The following is a 17,774-nucleotide window of genomic DNA, read 5'->3' on the forward strand; positions in this document are numbered from 1 at the left end:
GTGTAAAAGTTACATTTGAACTTCGTGATTGATTTATCCATGGATATAACCATAATAAATGACAGAAAGAAACAGCAAATGGAAAAAAGCATTGCATTGCACCAGGATGTGTATGAAATGGACTTCAATTTTGCTGCTGATACAGCTGAGCTGTTACATTAGCTCTGGAAGTTGTGGAAAGGTGCTGGTGTGGCCCACAGCATTCAGCCATTGGATGAATGTAAAGACAATCCTGGATGAGCTTGTCCAGAGGGCGCATGAAGTGCCTGTACTGGCATTTTCAGCTTCCATTTGTTTGATCCCAACAGCCTACCTACTCTTAAACTTAAGTTTATCCTGCATCTTTAACTAAAACTGAGTTGGAGGACATCATCATGCAACTAGTCAAGAGATGGGCAGCCCTTCCAAAAGGCACGTTTTGGTCATATTTTTCACAAGTACAAGAAATCATGTGGACATTTAATGACATACTTAGAAAGTTCTGTAAGGATGTAGTTTAAAATAATAAACTTATGAAAAAACTACAAAAGTTAAAATTTGATGTTGTTCTTGCAGATGCTATTATTCCCTGTGGTGAGCTGCTGGCTGAGCTATTTAACATACCCTTCCTGTACAGTCTCCACTTCTCTGCTGGCTACACACTTGAAAAGCACAATGTAGGATTTCTGTTTCTGCCTTCCTACATACCTGTTGTTATGTCAGAATTAAGTGACCAAATGACTTTCATAGAGAGGGTAAAAATATATGATCTATCTGGTTTATTTTCAATTTTGGTTCCAACCAAATATTTAATATGAAGAAGTGGGATCAGTTTTCCAGTGAAGTTTTACCTAAGTAATTTTTTCAGTTGGTAATATGGAGATCTAACTTTCCTGTGCCTTTGAAGCTGAGCTTCTATAAAGCAATAAAGTCAGGGTCCTTTTTTTTTTTTTTTTTTTTTGGTGGAGACTTTCTTTGTCTTCCAGGCTGGAGTGCAGTGGTGCAATCTAAACTCACTGCTGGGATTACAGGCATGTGTCAGCACACTTGGTTAATTTTTTGTATTTTTAGTAGAGATGGGGCTTCACCATGTTGGCCAGGCTGGTCTCAAACTCCTGACCTCAAGTGATACACCTGCCTCAGCCTCTCAAAGTGCTGGGATTACAGGCATGAGCCACCACGCCCAGCTGGTAGTGGAGTATTTCGTAAGTGAATTTATGAAATGAAAACACAAGATGATCTATCAATTGCACAAATATTATAGAAAAGCTTAAATTATAAGTTCAGTTAAAACCCTGTGGCCATTGCTAATACAGAACATTCTAGGAAGTCATAAACCTGTAAATTAGTGCACCTAATATTTCTTTAAACAATCACACATCTGTTTTACTATACATATTTTTATCTTAAAAAAGTCGGACCCGTCCACAAACATCTTACTGAATGCATACATGTATATTGAGTAGTTACACAATTTTCTACCACAACTATCTATGTAACATTGCAGAAATTGTTTTTCCTTGTACACCGCAGTTTCTTTATTCTGAAATTAAAATATGTCCCCATGTTACCAGAAGGTTTCCTTCACAGTTGAGAGAAATAGTGCTTCTGTCTCAAATGCAAAAACCAATAAGGGCAATTTGTAGTTTCTAATGTCTCCACATTCCTTCACTAAAAGATTGGAAATTATTCATTTTAAGACTAATCATCTTATTGAAGTCTGAACATTTTTCTATCTATATAGTTTTTTTAAAAAAATACTATGTTTATTACAAAATATAAGCCAAATTAAGGTTGGATACAAATCTCTATTTGAATAATTTCTCAAAATTTTCTAGCTGTAATTTTCAAATATATTTACTTAAAAGCTAATATGGTTAATACCTTAGCATAAATCAAAAGCAGTAGTTGGTACAAGGATTTCAGCCACACTCTCAAAATAGCCCACAGTTCACTTGAATAACCAAAGATAAAAAGATTAGCTTAATGAACTGCGGAAACTAGACTATTTCTCAGAAAATTATTTTTATGGGTTAGGCAGAATTAGTTGATCATGGAGCTCAAAGAGTTTTTTAAATGTTTATATGCTACTATTGAAGTTTTAAAGGGTAAAGAAATGGATGTTTACTTCTCTATAGATTATTTTAATAATTGTTTGTGATTATGAGTATTCCGATGTGACATTAGCGATGTAGTTTACCCTCAAACTTCTCTTATCAGTTTGCTTTTCTTATAAATACACAAGGGCAAAATATATAATACATAAAAAATAAATTATGTTTATATTTGAATATATGTTCATGTATTTCAAAGTACAGACACTTGGTCTACATTTTTGCCTACATTATTCTAATCCCTTTCAGAAAATTACCTAATGTAATTATCTTGTGTAATCCACTTTTTCTTTCATTTTTCCTCTCAGGAAGACCCACTACCTTATCTGAGACAATGGAGAAAGCTGACATACATATGGCTTATTCAAAACTCCTGGAATTTTCAATTTCCTCATCCACTCTTACCAAATGTTGAATTTGTTGGAGGACTCCACTGCAAATCTACCAAACCCCTACCTAAGGTAAAGATAATTTTGTTGATTCGGTTTTGTTAGCTTTGAATTTTTAGTAGGAATGACTCTACCGTCTTCCTGCAGAGTGTCTGACTTAGAAAGAAAGATGGGAAGTGGGTGGGGTAAAGCAGATAGCAATTAGGAACTCTTGTACTTGTTGATTTATCGATACCATCACAAGTACGTGAGTTTCATCATTATTATAGATACAGAGGGATACTAAGGAGACTTTGAAAATAGGGTTGGTTAAATTAAAGCCTTGATTATGCAACACGTAAGAAGGTATTGGTCATTCATTAAGAGAATGTTTATAAAAGTTTAACAAAAACCACAGGCAAGAGGAAAAAAAATAGACACAGTTTCTGTCCCCACACACATTACATTCTATTTCAAAAGATAGAATATGTATAAGTAATAAAAATTGTGCAAAAGCTATTATCTCATGCCAAGATAGCATCAGTGGAGATAATAGAAAGTATCCTGGACGCACTGATAATGAAGCTGACAGCTGAACAATGTGCAGAAATTGGTGAAATAATGAGGAGGGCAGAAAACACAAAAAGAAAAAAAGGTAAAGTGTTCAGGAAAGTTCTCAAGACTCCAAGTTTAGTTTGCAGGGACAGGCTGAGTGAGAATCAGATGATGCTGAGAGACAAGTTAGAGCCTGATACTTATTAGGAGTTAAAATATTTATTAAGCACCTTTGGGGACTACTAAAAAGAGTTAGGAAATGAAGATATATGATAAGGTTATTTAAAAAAAAAGAAACAAAGAAAGAGCAGACCATTTGGGAAATTTTGCATGGAATCTGGTAGCAGATGATGGAAAAGTGGATTAGAATGTTGGACTAGAAGTAATTATGCCTACATTTGCAGTAATAGTACCCACTTCATATTGTGTTTTGTGGAAAAAATGTTAATACACACAAAACACTTAAAATCTCTCTGTTATATAGTCAGTGATTCAGAAATATTAATTTTGCAATTATGGTTATTTTGTTATGATTACTAACACTATTAATTACTTAACATGTGCAAGTCACTTGAGATACCATTCTTCATTTAATAGAACCAGATTGTTCAGCACATCAAGATTATGTTCTCTTGAAAAGTCGTGGAGGACAGATATATTGTGGACTTGAATAAAAGTAGGCATACTAGTTTTGCTAGTAAGATGCGTAAGTTGACATTCTAAAATTCTACTGTAAGTTATGAGGATTTTAAGTATTCTATCTTAAAAAGAAAATAGTTACTCAACAATATAAATGTGTATCCTTAATAATATTTGCAGCCAAACCCAGTGTTCACTTGATTTCACTCAAGGATGTAACTCATTCTACACTGAGATATCTGACGTTTACATCTTAGAACAGAAACATGCCCTATTAGAGCAGGTGTTTTCAGCCTTATGACAAGCAACTTAGTACAGCATCCTGGTTGAACTTGTGTCTAGACGCCAAAGCTCCCTACAGAGAAGCATGGAGAAAATGAATGATGCACGTATTATAAAGGCCAAATAATTTCTATCACTTGTATCTGAATAGTAGTAAACTTAGTTTACCATAATTAAAGAATTCTGTCTACTTAGAAGATGATGTTCTTTGTAAAGGAACACAAGAACCTCATGCATTTTAAATTAGTATCATACTTTTAAGACATAGGTAGAAAGTAAGCATTCTTTAATACATTATTAAGTAATCTCTTAAGATTTTTGTCTACATAAAACTGAGAATTTATTCCATGGGTAAAATACAATATCTATGTTGAATGCGAATTGTATGTGCTTTATGACTTTCTAAAGAGACAAAAGCTGAGGTAAGACTAATAAAAATTCTATGGCACCCTACCCTACTATTGAAAGATTTCCCTATTCATATTAAGGGAAAGTGATAGTGCCACTAGGAGGGGGAAGAGAATAGGAGGTGTAGAAGGATAAGAAAAAGGATGACTAGTAGTATAATAGTGATAATTACTAATAGTAGCTGTTGTTATTAACTTGCAGAAAGATTTGAATGCAAGTCAATGGTTGTAAAATTGGTTCTCTAATTGTTTATTATGTAGAATAATTGTTAACCCAAGTTGTTTTCTTTTAAATTAAATATTAGATTCTCATAATATATGTCTATATTTTAAGAGAAAAAGACATTTGGCAAAATATTTCTAGTGATTTAAAAATGCACATAATCATTGGTTTAATAATATAGTTTCATGTAATCATACTGAGAAAAAAATGAATTAAGATGTGCACATTTAATATTTATGGAAAATATTCATAAAATTCACATTGGAAATAATCCAACATCTTAAATGAAGGAATGACTAAAAACTTATACTATATGCATACTATAGCCTTACAATAATTTTATCAATCAAATATTCAATTACACTGTGAGCCATAATGCGAGTAAAGTGTAGTAGAAAATGATAAATATAACAAGATGACAAATTTTTTGTAAGAGGAAAATGTATATACAATAAGGTTAAAACTTTCTAAATAAATGTCATGAGTGTACATGTGTAAATAGAATAAAAGCCATGATGAGAATATACATATTTTACATTGGTAATATCTCTAGATAGAAATTTTAGAAATATTTCCTTTTCTTTATGAAACTTTTCATACTTTTGTTAAATTACTTACAGTGATTTTGTATTATTTTTATGAAGTTGTCACAGAGTCTGAAACAACCAGTCCACATCAGTGATGAATCAGTAAACAGAAGTTAGATTACTTCAACACTGGGTGGATGAAGAAGGCTCTGGGCATCAAGCCAGTGAGAGTAAACCCTGAACACGAGTTACAGTAAATGTGGCAACAGGTAACTGCAATCACACAAAATGTCTAGATGCCCCATGTATTATCTGGAATAGTAGTACAATGACTCTCACATTAACATTGATGTCTTAAGATTAAAAATCATATTTGAAAAAAAATACAGCAATATATGGTCTTCACAGTCAATATTTGGATTTTTTTCTTTGTTTTATAAACAGCAGTTCAAAAAAGTTTTACCCTAATGATTAAAACTGAAAGTTTTTAAATTTAAATATTGGCATAGATTGGAGAAAGCAAATCAGAGTAAATATCAATCAATTTTAGCCAAGTACATCTTCACCAAGAAGTGTAGTGTGAGTGAGCTACTCATGAGGGTGACCAGATCTCCCCTGTGGAAAGCGCTGGTGGCCTCTCCCATTATGGTGCAAGTGCTGCTGCCTCTGAGACACAACAAAGTGACAATGAGAGTTCCTCACAGGCAGTTATAAATAGAACATCAATTTAACAGTGTGATTTCAGGGAAAAGTTATTCCACCTAAAGAATCACCTGAAAAATATGATCATTCAACTATCTAACTATATACTGTACAATTCAGTATTATAAATGAGACTCTCAGTACTAATTCATAGAAATTCCAAACCACAACCAGACTCCAGAATGTCAGTGATTCTTAACCACCACTTTTTACTGTTACTTTTTTTCTTTTTTGAAAAAAAACTGGGAAACTCTGACAAAATTTTAGTGAAGTGTAAAGGATTACAGAGGAAGATAAATGTAGACAAAAAATCACCCCAACTGTGAGTAACGTTTCCTCAGTGTTTATAGTTAGGGAAGAAAACCATTGATAGCTTCAAACTAAAACAATTCTATAGAAAATGTTGCAGGAAGTGAGGGACCCCGAACAGAGGGTCCAGCTGAAGCCATGGCAGAAGAACATAAATTGTGAAGATTTCATGCACATTTATCACTTCCCCAATCAATACTCTTATAATTTCCTATACCTGGCTTTAATCTCTTAATACCAGTATCTTCATAAGCTGAGGATGTATGTCGCCTCAGGACCCTGTGATGATTGCATTAACTGCACAAATTGTTTGTAAAGCATGTGTGTTAGAAAAATATGAAATCTGGGCACCTTGAAAAAAGAACAGGATAACAGCAATGTTCAGGGAACAAGGGAGATAAACATTAGGTCTGACTGCCTGGGAGCCAGGCAGGACAGAGCATGTTTCCCTTATTACCAAAAACGGGTAAGAGAAATATCACTGAATTCTTTCCCTAGTAAGGAATATAATTAACAGCACTGGGAAAAGAATGCATTGGGGGGGGCGGGGCTAAAATGTCTGCTCTGGGAGTGTCTGTCTTATATGGTTGTAGATAAGGGATGAAATAAGCCCTGGTCTCCTGTAGTGCCCCCAGGCTTATTAGGATTAGGAAATTCCTGCCTAGTAAATTTTAGTCAGACTGGTTGTCTGCTCTCAAACCCTGTCTCCTGATAATGTGTCATCAATGACAATGTGTGCCCAGTGGGACATGAAACTTCATCAGGAATTCTATTTTCACCCTGGCCTTGTGACCTTGCCCTGCCCATTTGTCTTGTGATATTTTATTGCCTTTGAAGCGTGTGATCTCTGTGACCCACACCCTATTCGTACACTCCTTCCCCTTTGAAAATCACTAATAAAAACTTGCTGGTTTTGTGGCTCAGGGAGCATCACGGAACCTGCCAACATATGATGTCTCCCCCGGACACCCAGCTTTAAAATTTCTCTCTTTTGTACTCTTTCCCTTTATTTCTCAGACTGGCTGATACTTAGGGAAAATAGAAAAGAATCTACATTGAAATATTGGGGGCTGTTTCCCCCAATAAGAAAACCTGCCTGAAATAAAGATATGTGATTTAGTAGAATGACAATATAGAATTAAAGCCAAGTAGTGCCACTTTCCAAGAACCTATATTAGTAACTGTAAAATTATAAGTGAAGAGTCTGGGTATAGTGTTTTCTAACATTATCTCCCTGACTACTATGTAATAGCTCCATTTCATTTCTCTCTTACACACACACACAAACATGCACACACACATATTTACATAAACACACTTAGTAGAGGCTACCTATCTCATATTATACATCTTCTTGATAAGAAACTGAATGATTGGGTCAGTTAAAAGACATAATTTCCTCCAATAATTCCTGATAATACTTGATTTTCTCTCTTTAGTAATTTGTACCAATTCTTTCAGTAGTGCCTGCTGTGCTGTTACTCTTTTGTGATGGAACAAATTCTTTTTTCACAGGAAATGGAAGAATTTATCCAGAGCTCTGGAGAAAATGGTGTTGTGGTGTTTTCTCTGGGGTCAATGATCAGCAACATGTCTGAAGAAAGGGCCAATGTAATTGCATCAGCCCTTGCCAAGATCCACAGAAGGATAGATAAAGTTCCTTACGGTATGGAAAACTACCAAAAGAGGCTGTTAAAGTCTATAAATAATCCAATTATAGAAATTTCCTTCCTGGAAATGTAGCTCTTGGGAAAGCACTAATTATCAGATATTAGTTCAAAATGAGAAATGTACATGAAAGATGCTAAAGTAATACAAAGGGTATAATCATGGATAATAAATTTGGTACTAATATTGTGAACAGGAAGAAATATATTAAGAGGCGTAGGTAAAGTTTTGATATTATCATGATATTGAGGTCACATAAGAGATATCACCAAATTATTTCCCTGTCATCTGATCCTTATGTTTAAGGATTCCTGAGGAAATTATACACACTATAGATGTTATCAGAAGAAGTTACATTTTAATGGGTGACTTCACTAGCACAATAACAATAACAGGTATTTCAAAATGTCTAACATGCATCATGCAGTTTAGGCTTGCCATGTAATCTGGCCTCATGTAGTTCCTCCACATTTTGGAATAGGCCCATCTGAGTGATGTTCAGGGTACTATTCAGAGAAAGAATGGCCTAGGCTGACAGACTTAGTCCAAGTTCTCACCTAGCCAGGTAGATTTAGAAAAAGAGAAAAAGCAGCCTCCCTTGCTGGACTGGGCCCAGCCAATGTCTAAAACAGGAAGATGAAAGAAAAAGGATGGAAATGGATCCTGACCTGAAGGTGGATCCTGTGCTGTATAAAATGTGGCCCCACAAGGACTCAGCACTAACTATCAGATTAACAATTCTTCCCAATGGAGGCAGCAGAAAAAAATATAGGAAGGAGTCAAACAGAAGGAAGCCAGGTGGGGAATAGGTTCAGATGCTCCCTCTATAATACATAGTAGGAACATATTTTCTTCTGTATAGAATAAAACGGTGACTTTTGTGTATTTGTCAATTACTTTTTAGCTCCCTATCTGATATAGTCTTCTTGCAATGACCTCCACTAAAGTTTTTTGCTGAAAAACCAGTTATTTTAATACTGATATAACAAGTAAAACACTGTAAATTATTTATCAGTTTATGAGGATTGCTTGGGAGTTCCAAAATTAGTAACTTAAACATAAGAATGTCTTGGCTATAGTAGAACATATTAATCACTGTTGTCAAAGCTTTGTAGCACATTGTCTAAGTGTTAACAATCTGTTGACCAAATTCAGAAAAATATGATTTTGAATTTGTTCAACAGCTATATCTTTATTTATGATACCAGCAGGTTCCTCATTTCAATGCTGAAAAAAAACAACAAAAATTAGCAATACTGATAATACTCTGAATTTGTCTCAGAAATTGTCCCTTGAAATTTCTCCTGGAAGTAGTGCTTGATAATTCATAATTTCAAAGAAGTTATACATGCTACCTTTGTAGCATTATTTCTTACAATTAGCTTATTTTATCAACTTGCTTTTTTGTCAATCAAAGAACACCAAACCCTAACATAATAACTTATAGACAAGCAGAAATACATGAATTACTTCCTATATTACCAAAAATGAATAAATTAATATTTAATTTGGAAGATGAAAACTAGTATAAAATACATAAAATAAAATAAGCATATAGGTCATTACTAAATTGTTACTGCTTATTCTCACTAGAATTATAATGACTATTTAAATATTTTTCATACATACAATTTTTTAGAATTTTTGTGTGCTTAAAATTAAATTTATTTTATTTTTTAAATTTTATTTTAAGTTCAGGGGTACAGGTGCAGGTTTGTTACATAGATAAATTTGTATTATGGGAGTTTGTTTTACACATTGTTTAATCGCCCAGTCATTAAGACCAGTACCCATTAGTTATTTTACCTGATCTTCTCTCTTCTCCTGCCCTCCACCCTCCAATACACCCCAGTATGTTGTTCCATGCTATGTTTCCATGTGTTCTCATCTTTTAGCTTCCACTTAACAGTGAGAACATGTGGTTCTGTTTCTATGCTAGTTTGCTAAGGATAACAGCCTCCAGCTCCATCTATGTCCTGTAAAATACATATCTTGCTTTTTTATGGCTGCATAATATTCCATGGTGTATATATATCCCATTCCATTTTCTTTATTCAGTCAATCATTGATGGGCATTAAGGTTGATTCCATATCTTTACTATTGTGAATACTACTGCTATTAATAAACGTGTATGTGCCTTTATAAGAGAATCATTCATCATCCTTTGCGTATATACCCACTAATGAGATTGGTGAGTTGAATTGTATTTTAGCCTCTAGGTTTTTGAGGAAGTGCCACACTGTCTTCCACAATGGTTGAACCAACATAAACTCCCACTAACAGAGTATAAGCATTCCTTTTTCTACACAATCTTGCTAGCATCTATTACTTTTTAAGTTTATAATAGCCATTATGACCGGTGCAAGATAGTATCTATTGTGATTTTGATTTGCATTTCTCTAATGAGCAGTGATGGTAAGCTTTTTGCATATGATGGTTGGCCACACATAGGTCTTCTTTTGTAAAGCATACCAATTTTTTAAATACTTGAACTTTTCATTTATAATCTCATTTTTCTAAGCTATTATTTGGAAAATCCTGACTTCCTTATATGCTTAACTAATTATAGAAGTTAAGAAAATGAAATGTTGGCATTCTATTTACATCAGTCTTTGAGTAGTTTTATTACCTAACATCCCTGATCTCATTCTTAATCTCTTTAGAGTCCTAACATTCTCTAACTTTGGAGTTCTACTAACGGAATAAGATATTTTTTTTACTGTAGCAGGTTCTGTGGAGATTTGATGGGAATAGACCACATGGCTTGGGACTCAATACTCGAGTGTACAAGTGGATACCCCAGAATGACCTTCTTGGTATGACTCTGGAGTAGAAATACTGAATATATTAGTACCAGCCCATTAGAGTGTGAATAATTAATCATGAAATAAGCTTATTCAAAATGTGTTATGGAAAAACTTATAAATAAAATGAAACTTCTTTGTATTTATTTTCCAGTCCTTCGGGGAACATAATAAGCTATAATTGCTGGCATTTTATGATATACATTCACAGTCTTTATGGTCAGAATCAGGGTATTTTTATTTCAAGTGTTATTATTTCTTGCAGAATTTTTTATTAACGTCATAGATTGTCTCTTTGTCTCCTATTTCTATAACTTTACACTTGTTCTTTCTTTTTATGCAGGGTTATTTCAAATGTCACTAATAAAACAGCTCTTCTGCTATCACCAGGAAGTCTGAATTTTCTGTAGGATTAAATTCCTAATCTTAATCATAAAGTGATGACTCATTTCGTGACGAAGTGTGACCTGTCCTTCCTCAATCATAGCACCACCACCACCCCACTGCCTGCTGCCTTGCACATCTCACATATCACATTCCGTGACTGCACTTAGGAGAACACATTCTTACATGTCCTTCTCTTTTCTTTGATTCTTTTTCTTTTTTTTTCGCATTTAATTTAGATCACATTGTTTCTTTAGTCCAACTGGTAATCTTGTTTAATTTTTTTTCAGTCTGAAGTCACACAAAACATATAGCTTTCACTTATATCTCCAGCAGAAGTATGTGCTCCTTCCTCTGAAGTCTGAAACACAATTTTAATTTAGTTCAATGTTTTAGCTAGAAAACACTGTCACTTGCGTGTTTTGTTGTGCATTTCTCATTTTATTCCTATGAGTAATATTGCTAAAATTTATCCAATCCTAGTTCATCCAAAAACCAGGGCTTTTATAACTCATGGTGGATCCAATGGCATCTACAAGGCAATCTACCATGGGATCCATATGGTGCACATTCCATTGCTTGCAGATCAACCTCATAACATTGCACACATGAAGGCCAAGGGCACAGCTATTAGATTGGACTTCCGCACAATGTCTAGTACAGACTTGCTCAATGCTTGAAGCCAATAATTAATGACCCTTTGTGAGTATAACAATATCTTTTCACTAGGTGGTATTTATAGATACCTTATCTTCTCAATAGTATGAGTTTCATCCTTTTTTCAAGAGACTAATTTTGAAAGAATTTAAATGATGTAACCAATCTGAAATCTTCTTTTATTTTTGAGCAGTTGTTTAAAAACTGTTTTTAGAACTCCGTACATTTAATGGGTATCCAATAGTGAAACAATTTTTTACACAAAAATAATTTTCAAGTAATATAGATAATATAAAAAAGACTGTTTTAAAAAAATTTCATGATCAGTCCACAGTAGAAAAGAAGGATAAACTTAAAGAAATATGATAAAATGTTTTAATTAAACATCCAAAATATCTAAAAGTATAACTATTTTCCTGCTGAAAAATTCATTTTTATTCTTTTCATTATTGTAACAGGCTTGATAATTAGATATAATTTCCACGACTTAAAATCCACCTATTTAAGGTTTAAAATCCCAATATATTTAGAATGCTTACGAGTCACGAAGCCATCATCTGCAATCACATAATTTAGGGTGTTGTGTAAACGACTTATTTCACTGAGCATAATTTTTTGGGTTTTTTAAAATAGTTTTTAGATTCGTTCATGTTGTAGTGTGTATTAATACTTCATTTCTTTTTACAGCAGTATAATATTTTATAGTATGGATATGCCATATTTTATATGTTCACTTATCAGTTCATTGGCCTTTTGATTGTTTCCAATTATGGCTACTAGGAACATTGCTACACGTGTTTTTGCATAAACATGTTTTTCTTTATTTGGGATTGATACTATAAGTGGAATTGCTGGCTCATGTGGGAACTGTATGTTTATGAAGAACTGCTGAACTGTTTCCCAAAGTCCTTGTTCCATTTGTCATTCCCACCAACAGTGCAAGAGGGTTCCAATTCCTCCACACTGTTGCCAACACATGTTATTATCTTTTTGTTATAGCCTTCTTAGTGGGTGTGAAATGATCTTTCATTGTGGTTTTGGATTGGATTTTCATTACAGCTAAAAATGTTGACCATTGTTATATGTGCTTACTGACCATATATGGCTTTGGAAAAACACGTATTCCAATCCTTGGAACATTTTTAAACTTTGCTACTTGTCTTATTATTGAGTTTTAAGAACTATTTATGTTTCATGGATATAATCTTAGATACATAATTTGCAAATATTTTGTTTCATTCTGGGTGTGCTAACATTTTACACTTTTGATGATGGTTTTTGAAGCACAAAATTTTTAATTTTAATAAGTTAAATTTTTAATAATTGATTTATTTATACTCCAAAGGATACAACATGCAAAATGTCTACCCACTCCAGCTACCATCAGTTCAGCATTTATAACTACTATCAATAATGTTTTCATGTAAGACAGCCATCACCTAAAGGAATACTTTTAAAACAGGTTGTACAATAAAACAGGTTGGACCAATATAAAAGAAATATAAAATAAGGTGGTTTATTTAAATGTAAATACACAGATACTTCCATTAAATCTAAACAAACTTTAAAAAGAGGAGCAAATAATGAGTAATGCCATAGAACATTAGAAGAACACAGTTAACGAATGGAAACTTGTAACAAGATACACACACACGCATGCATATATATATATGTATCATATATATCAACTAAAAGACATTTTCTTAGAGCATATTGAATTGTTAATAATTATTTGAAGTGACATGTGGTGGGACATAAATCAAGACTCAGTAAATTTGAAAAGATTCAATATCATAAAGAATATATGATCCAGCCTTAGTAGAAGTAAGGGAAATTTTAAAAAATGTAACTAAAATATCTTTAATTTTGGAAATTAAGAAAATACACTTCAAAAAAATTTAAAGTCCTGCCTCAGCCTCCCCAGTAGCTGGGATTACAAGCATGCACCACCATGTCCAGCCAATTTTGTATTTTTAGTAGAGACAGGGATTCACCATGTTGGTCAGGCTGGTCTTGAACTCCTGACCTCAGAACATCCACCCGCCTTGGCCTCCCAAAGTGCTGGGATTACAGGCGTGAGCCATCGCTTGAACCTGGGAGTTGGATGATGCAGTGAGCCAAGATCATGCCATTGCACTCCTGCCTGGCCAACAAGGGCAAAATTCTGTTTCCAAAAAAAATAAAATAAATATAATAAATAAATAAAACTTAAAAAAATTAAAAATTAAGAAAAAAAAAGTCAAGAAGTTAATCATAATTAAGCATGCATTTTTATCTCAGCAATTCTACTTTCAATTATATACCCAACAGATATGTATAAATATGTAAATCTAGTGCTACATATGACATGGACAGGAAACAGGAAAATACTGGGTAGAAGAGGTCGGTTCCCCAGCAAAGTTCCCACCCTCAAGCCTGAAAACTAAATGAGAACAGACATTCTGTTTTTGAGGCCCGAAGTTCCCTTTTGGCCCACCATGCCCTCCTATTCTGTACCCATATGAACCCCAAACCCCCGGCATGAAAAGAAGAGCCGAAGAATGGCAGAATGGTGCATCAGAGAGAAGAGAATGAATTTCTGAATGCAGAGAGTAGTTCAGCTGGGGACAGTTGGAGAGGAGAGGAAATTGGATGCTGGATGGCCAAACTCCAGAGGAAGATCATCTTCCCACTCCATCACCATCCCAGCTCTCCATTCATCCAAGAGCCACCTCCACCACTCAATAAAAACCCCTGCATTCATCCTTCGAGTCCATGTGCGACCTGATTCTTTCTGGATCCTGGACAAGGACTTAAGTACTAACAGGGCACTGAACTGGTTAACACTTAAGCCATCAATACATTGCAAGGTTAAAAGAGTACACCAACACATACCTACTTGGGCTTTGGGAGTTGTAGACACCCACCCCTGGATGCTGCCATGGGGCCAGAGCCCAGGGGCGCTCGCCCAGGCTCCTGCACTTGCCTGTCTGCATGCTCCCCCTCCCATAAGGGGCTTGAATGTGCATGGGGGCTGAAGAGATGAGCCACACAGCTGTCGCACATCTTGTGGGGGGGGGCCCAGAACTCTTGCATTTCATATACAAGAATGTTTATGACAGAATTATCAATATTATCCAAAAATTGTTAGCAACCCAAATGTCTATTGGTCATAAAATGATGACATAATCTGTGTTTTAGCAATCAACAAAATACTAAACAGCAATGGAATTAACCAACAACAGCTACACAAAAATTTTAAAAAAAATAGGCTCTAATGAATATATGTTATATAATTCAATTACATAAACAAAGGAAACTAATGTATGATATTTGAAGTCAGGCTAATATTTAATTGGAAGACAAAAGTAGTGAATAAATGGTTCAGAAAAGGAGAGTTATTCTAGGCAGGTTGTGATATCGTACACCATGATCTGAGCAGAAGGTAAATTGGTATCTTCTCTTCAAGATAATGTTCAAGATGATCTCACACTTTTGACCTATTCACTTAGTGTATGTATTTTTATCTTTTCATTTCAATATTTAAAGGTTTATTTTATATGATATATAATGTATTTAAAATTCTAGGAATCAAATATCAAAATAAGCATAAAACAATAGAGAAAATCCTAGAGGTTCCATCATAGAGTGTCCAGGAAAAGCCTAACTTAGAGGTAACACTTAGAGGGAAACCTCAAAAGGAGATAGAAGCATGCCTTGGGTTGTTGAAAGAAAGAATGTTCCAAGAGTGCGAGAGAGGGGGCAAAATGTGTAAAGATGCTATGATGAGAACACTTTTGGTACTTTAAAGAAAAATAGACCAACGTCTCTAGAAGACATAGTGTGTATGGAAAAAGTGTTAGGAGAAGAGCTTGCCAGTGTTTGACATTGCAGGGTCCTGTAGACCAAATAACAGAGTTGGATTTTATTCTTAATATGATAGGTCAGGCAAAAATCTTAATCAGGGGAGTTGCAAAATCTGACCTTTAATTTCAAAAATTTCATTCTGGCTACTGGGTAGGAAACAGTAGGAGAAAAATGGTAGGGTAGAAGCAGAGTGACTAGCTATGAGGCATTTCACTGACCATGGCACAATTCCTTTTAGGAACTTAAAAATGGTAATTCTCAAATTGTATTTTCACTATCTTTCCTAAAGAACTTAAAATTGCTCATGATGTTGAGCACGTTCTCATATGCCTGTTAGAGAACTAAAAGGGTGTAATTGTATTGTTCATAACAGAAAGGATAAATGTTTAAGGAAGGATACTTTATTCTCCATGATGTGATTATTTCACATTGCAACCTGTATCAAAACATCTCATGCAACCCATAAATATATACACCTAGTAAGTACCCACAAAAACTAAAAATTAACAAATTAAAAAATAATAATAAAATGGCTCATATTTGCTTTGCCTGAAAGAAATTAGTTTTCCTGACTTTCCATTTTACTTTAAAAAAATTGTCAACGATAAAATTCCAATTTAATAGTTGAAGTTTCTATGATGACTCAAACTAAATTGTACAAATTCTATGTCAATTATATGTCATTTACTCTGAATCATTTGGCACTGTAAAAACCTTTCATGGGCCAGGTGCAGTGGCTAACGCCTGTAATCCCAGCACTTTGGGAGGCCGAGGCGGGTAGATCACCTGAGGTCAGGAGTTTGAGACCAGCCTGGCCAACATAGAAAAACCCTGTCTCTCTCTACTAAAAATCCAAAAAGTAGCCAGGCATGGTGGTGTGCGCCTGTAATCCCACCTACTCGGGAGGCTGAGGCGGGAAAAATCTCTTGACACCACGGGAAGGGGAGGTTGCAGTGAGCCGAGACTGCACCACTGCACTCCAGCCTGGGCAACAGAGTAAGACTCTGTTTCAATAAATCAATAAAATAAAATAAAATAAAAAATAAAAGCCTTATATGGACTTGATATGCTCAAGAAAATAAACTTACTTTCAATTTTGGTATCTCTATGTTTATCCTTCAGATATAAAGAGAACACTATGAAGTTATCAAGAATTTGACATGATCAACCAGTAAAGGTCGAGCAGTCTTCTGGATTGAATTTGTCATGTGCTGTAAAGGAGCCAAGCAACCTCGGGTTGCAGCCCAGGACCTCACAGGCTTCCAGTAACACTCCTTCAACGTGATTGGGTTCCTGCTGTCCTGTGTGGCAACTGTGATATTTACCATCATGAAATGTTGTATGTTTTGTGTCTGGAAATTTGCTAGAACTGGAAAGAAGGGAAACAGATTTGTTGTATTTGAAGCTTGAAGTTGGGAAACCTGATAGATGGGACTTCTTCAGTTTATTCCAACAAGAAAGATTATGATGCAAGTTTCCTTTCTTTCTGTGACAGAATATCTCTTCAAAAATTACTTACCTTGGCAACTAAAAAATTTGTTTTTCAGAGATTTAATACCTGTTTAATGGTTAGAAATACTTTTTGTCAAGAAGGAAAATACTGGCAAAAATATTAAATAGTATAAAGCCATACGAGCTGATGTTAAAATTTGTCAAGCTTATATTGAAATTCATTGCCCTCATTCACAAGTTACATGAAAAAATTTTTACTGAGCTTAACTACATTTCACATATTGTACTTAAACACAAGAATATTGAGAAGTCCACTGACAGTATCGGTTCTATTTTGCAAATACTCAGATTACTTTGGCTTCATTTTGAGCAGGATTTTCATATTTTAACTGTTGTTAAAGGAACTATTAAACAATTGAATTGTATAAAAAATCTCTCTCTTCCTTTTGATATTTTGAGATGAGTAGTGCTGCTTGGCCTTTATGGTGCATACTGCTTCAGCGTCAGTTTTTTCCTAAAATTTATGGCAAAAATGTTTATTGTTTTAGAGCTTTAGTCATTTCCCAGTGGAACGTATGTGGCATTAGAAATATAGCAACTGCTACCTGCTTCCTACAGTAATATTGAACTATTTTACAAAGCCTTTGGTTCTATGAGCCAATTCAGGCTTTCCATGTGATATCAACAAAATCAATACATCTTTGTCCAAAAAAAAAATTAAAAATGGAGAAATGAGTAAGTGAGTGGTGGAGAGAACACCGGACTAAAAGTCAGGAGAGCTGGGGTCAAGTCCCACCCTTCTGCTGAGCCAGTCTTTCATCCTGAGTCTCAGTTTACCCATTTTTTCTGGTCATTTA

General features: G+C 34.5%; 1 pseudogene; it reads left to right on the forward strand.

Annotated features, from left to right (window-relative positions):
• Positions 64-17,342, forward strand: UGT2B26P (UDP glucuronosyltransferase family 2 member B26, pseudogene; annotated as a pseudogene).

This window comes from Homo sapiens, chromosome 4 (genome assembly GCF_000001405.40).
Source record: "Homo sapiens chromosome 4, GRCh38.p14 Primary Assembly".
NCBI lineage: Eukaryota > Metazoa > Chordata > Mammalia > Primates > Hominidae > Homo > Homo sapiens.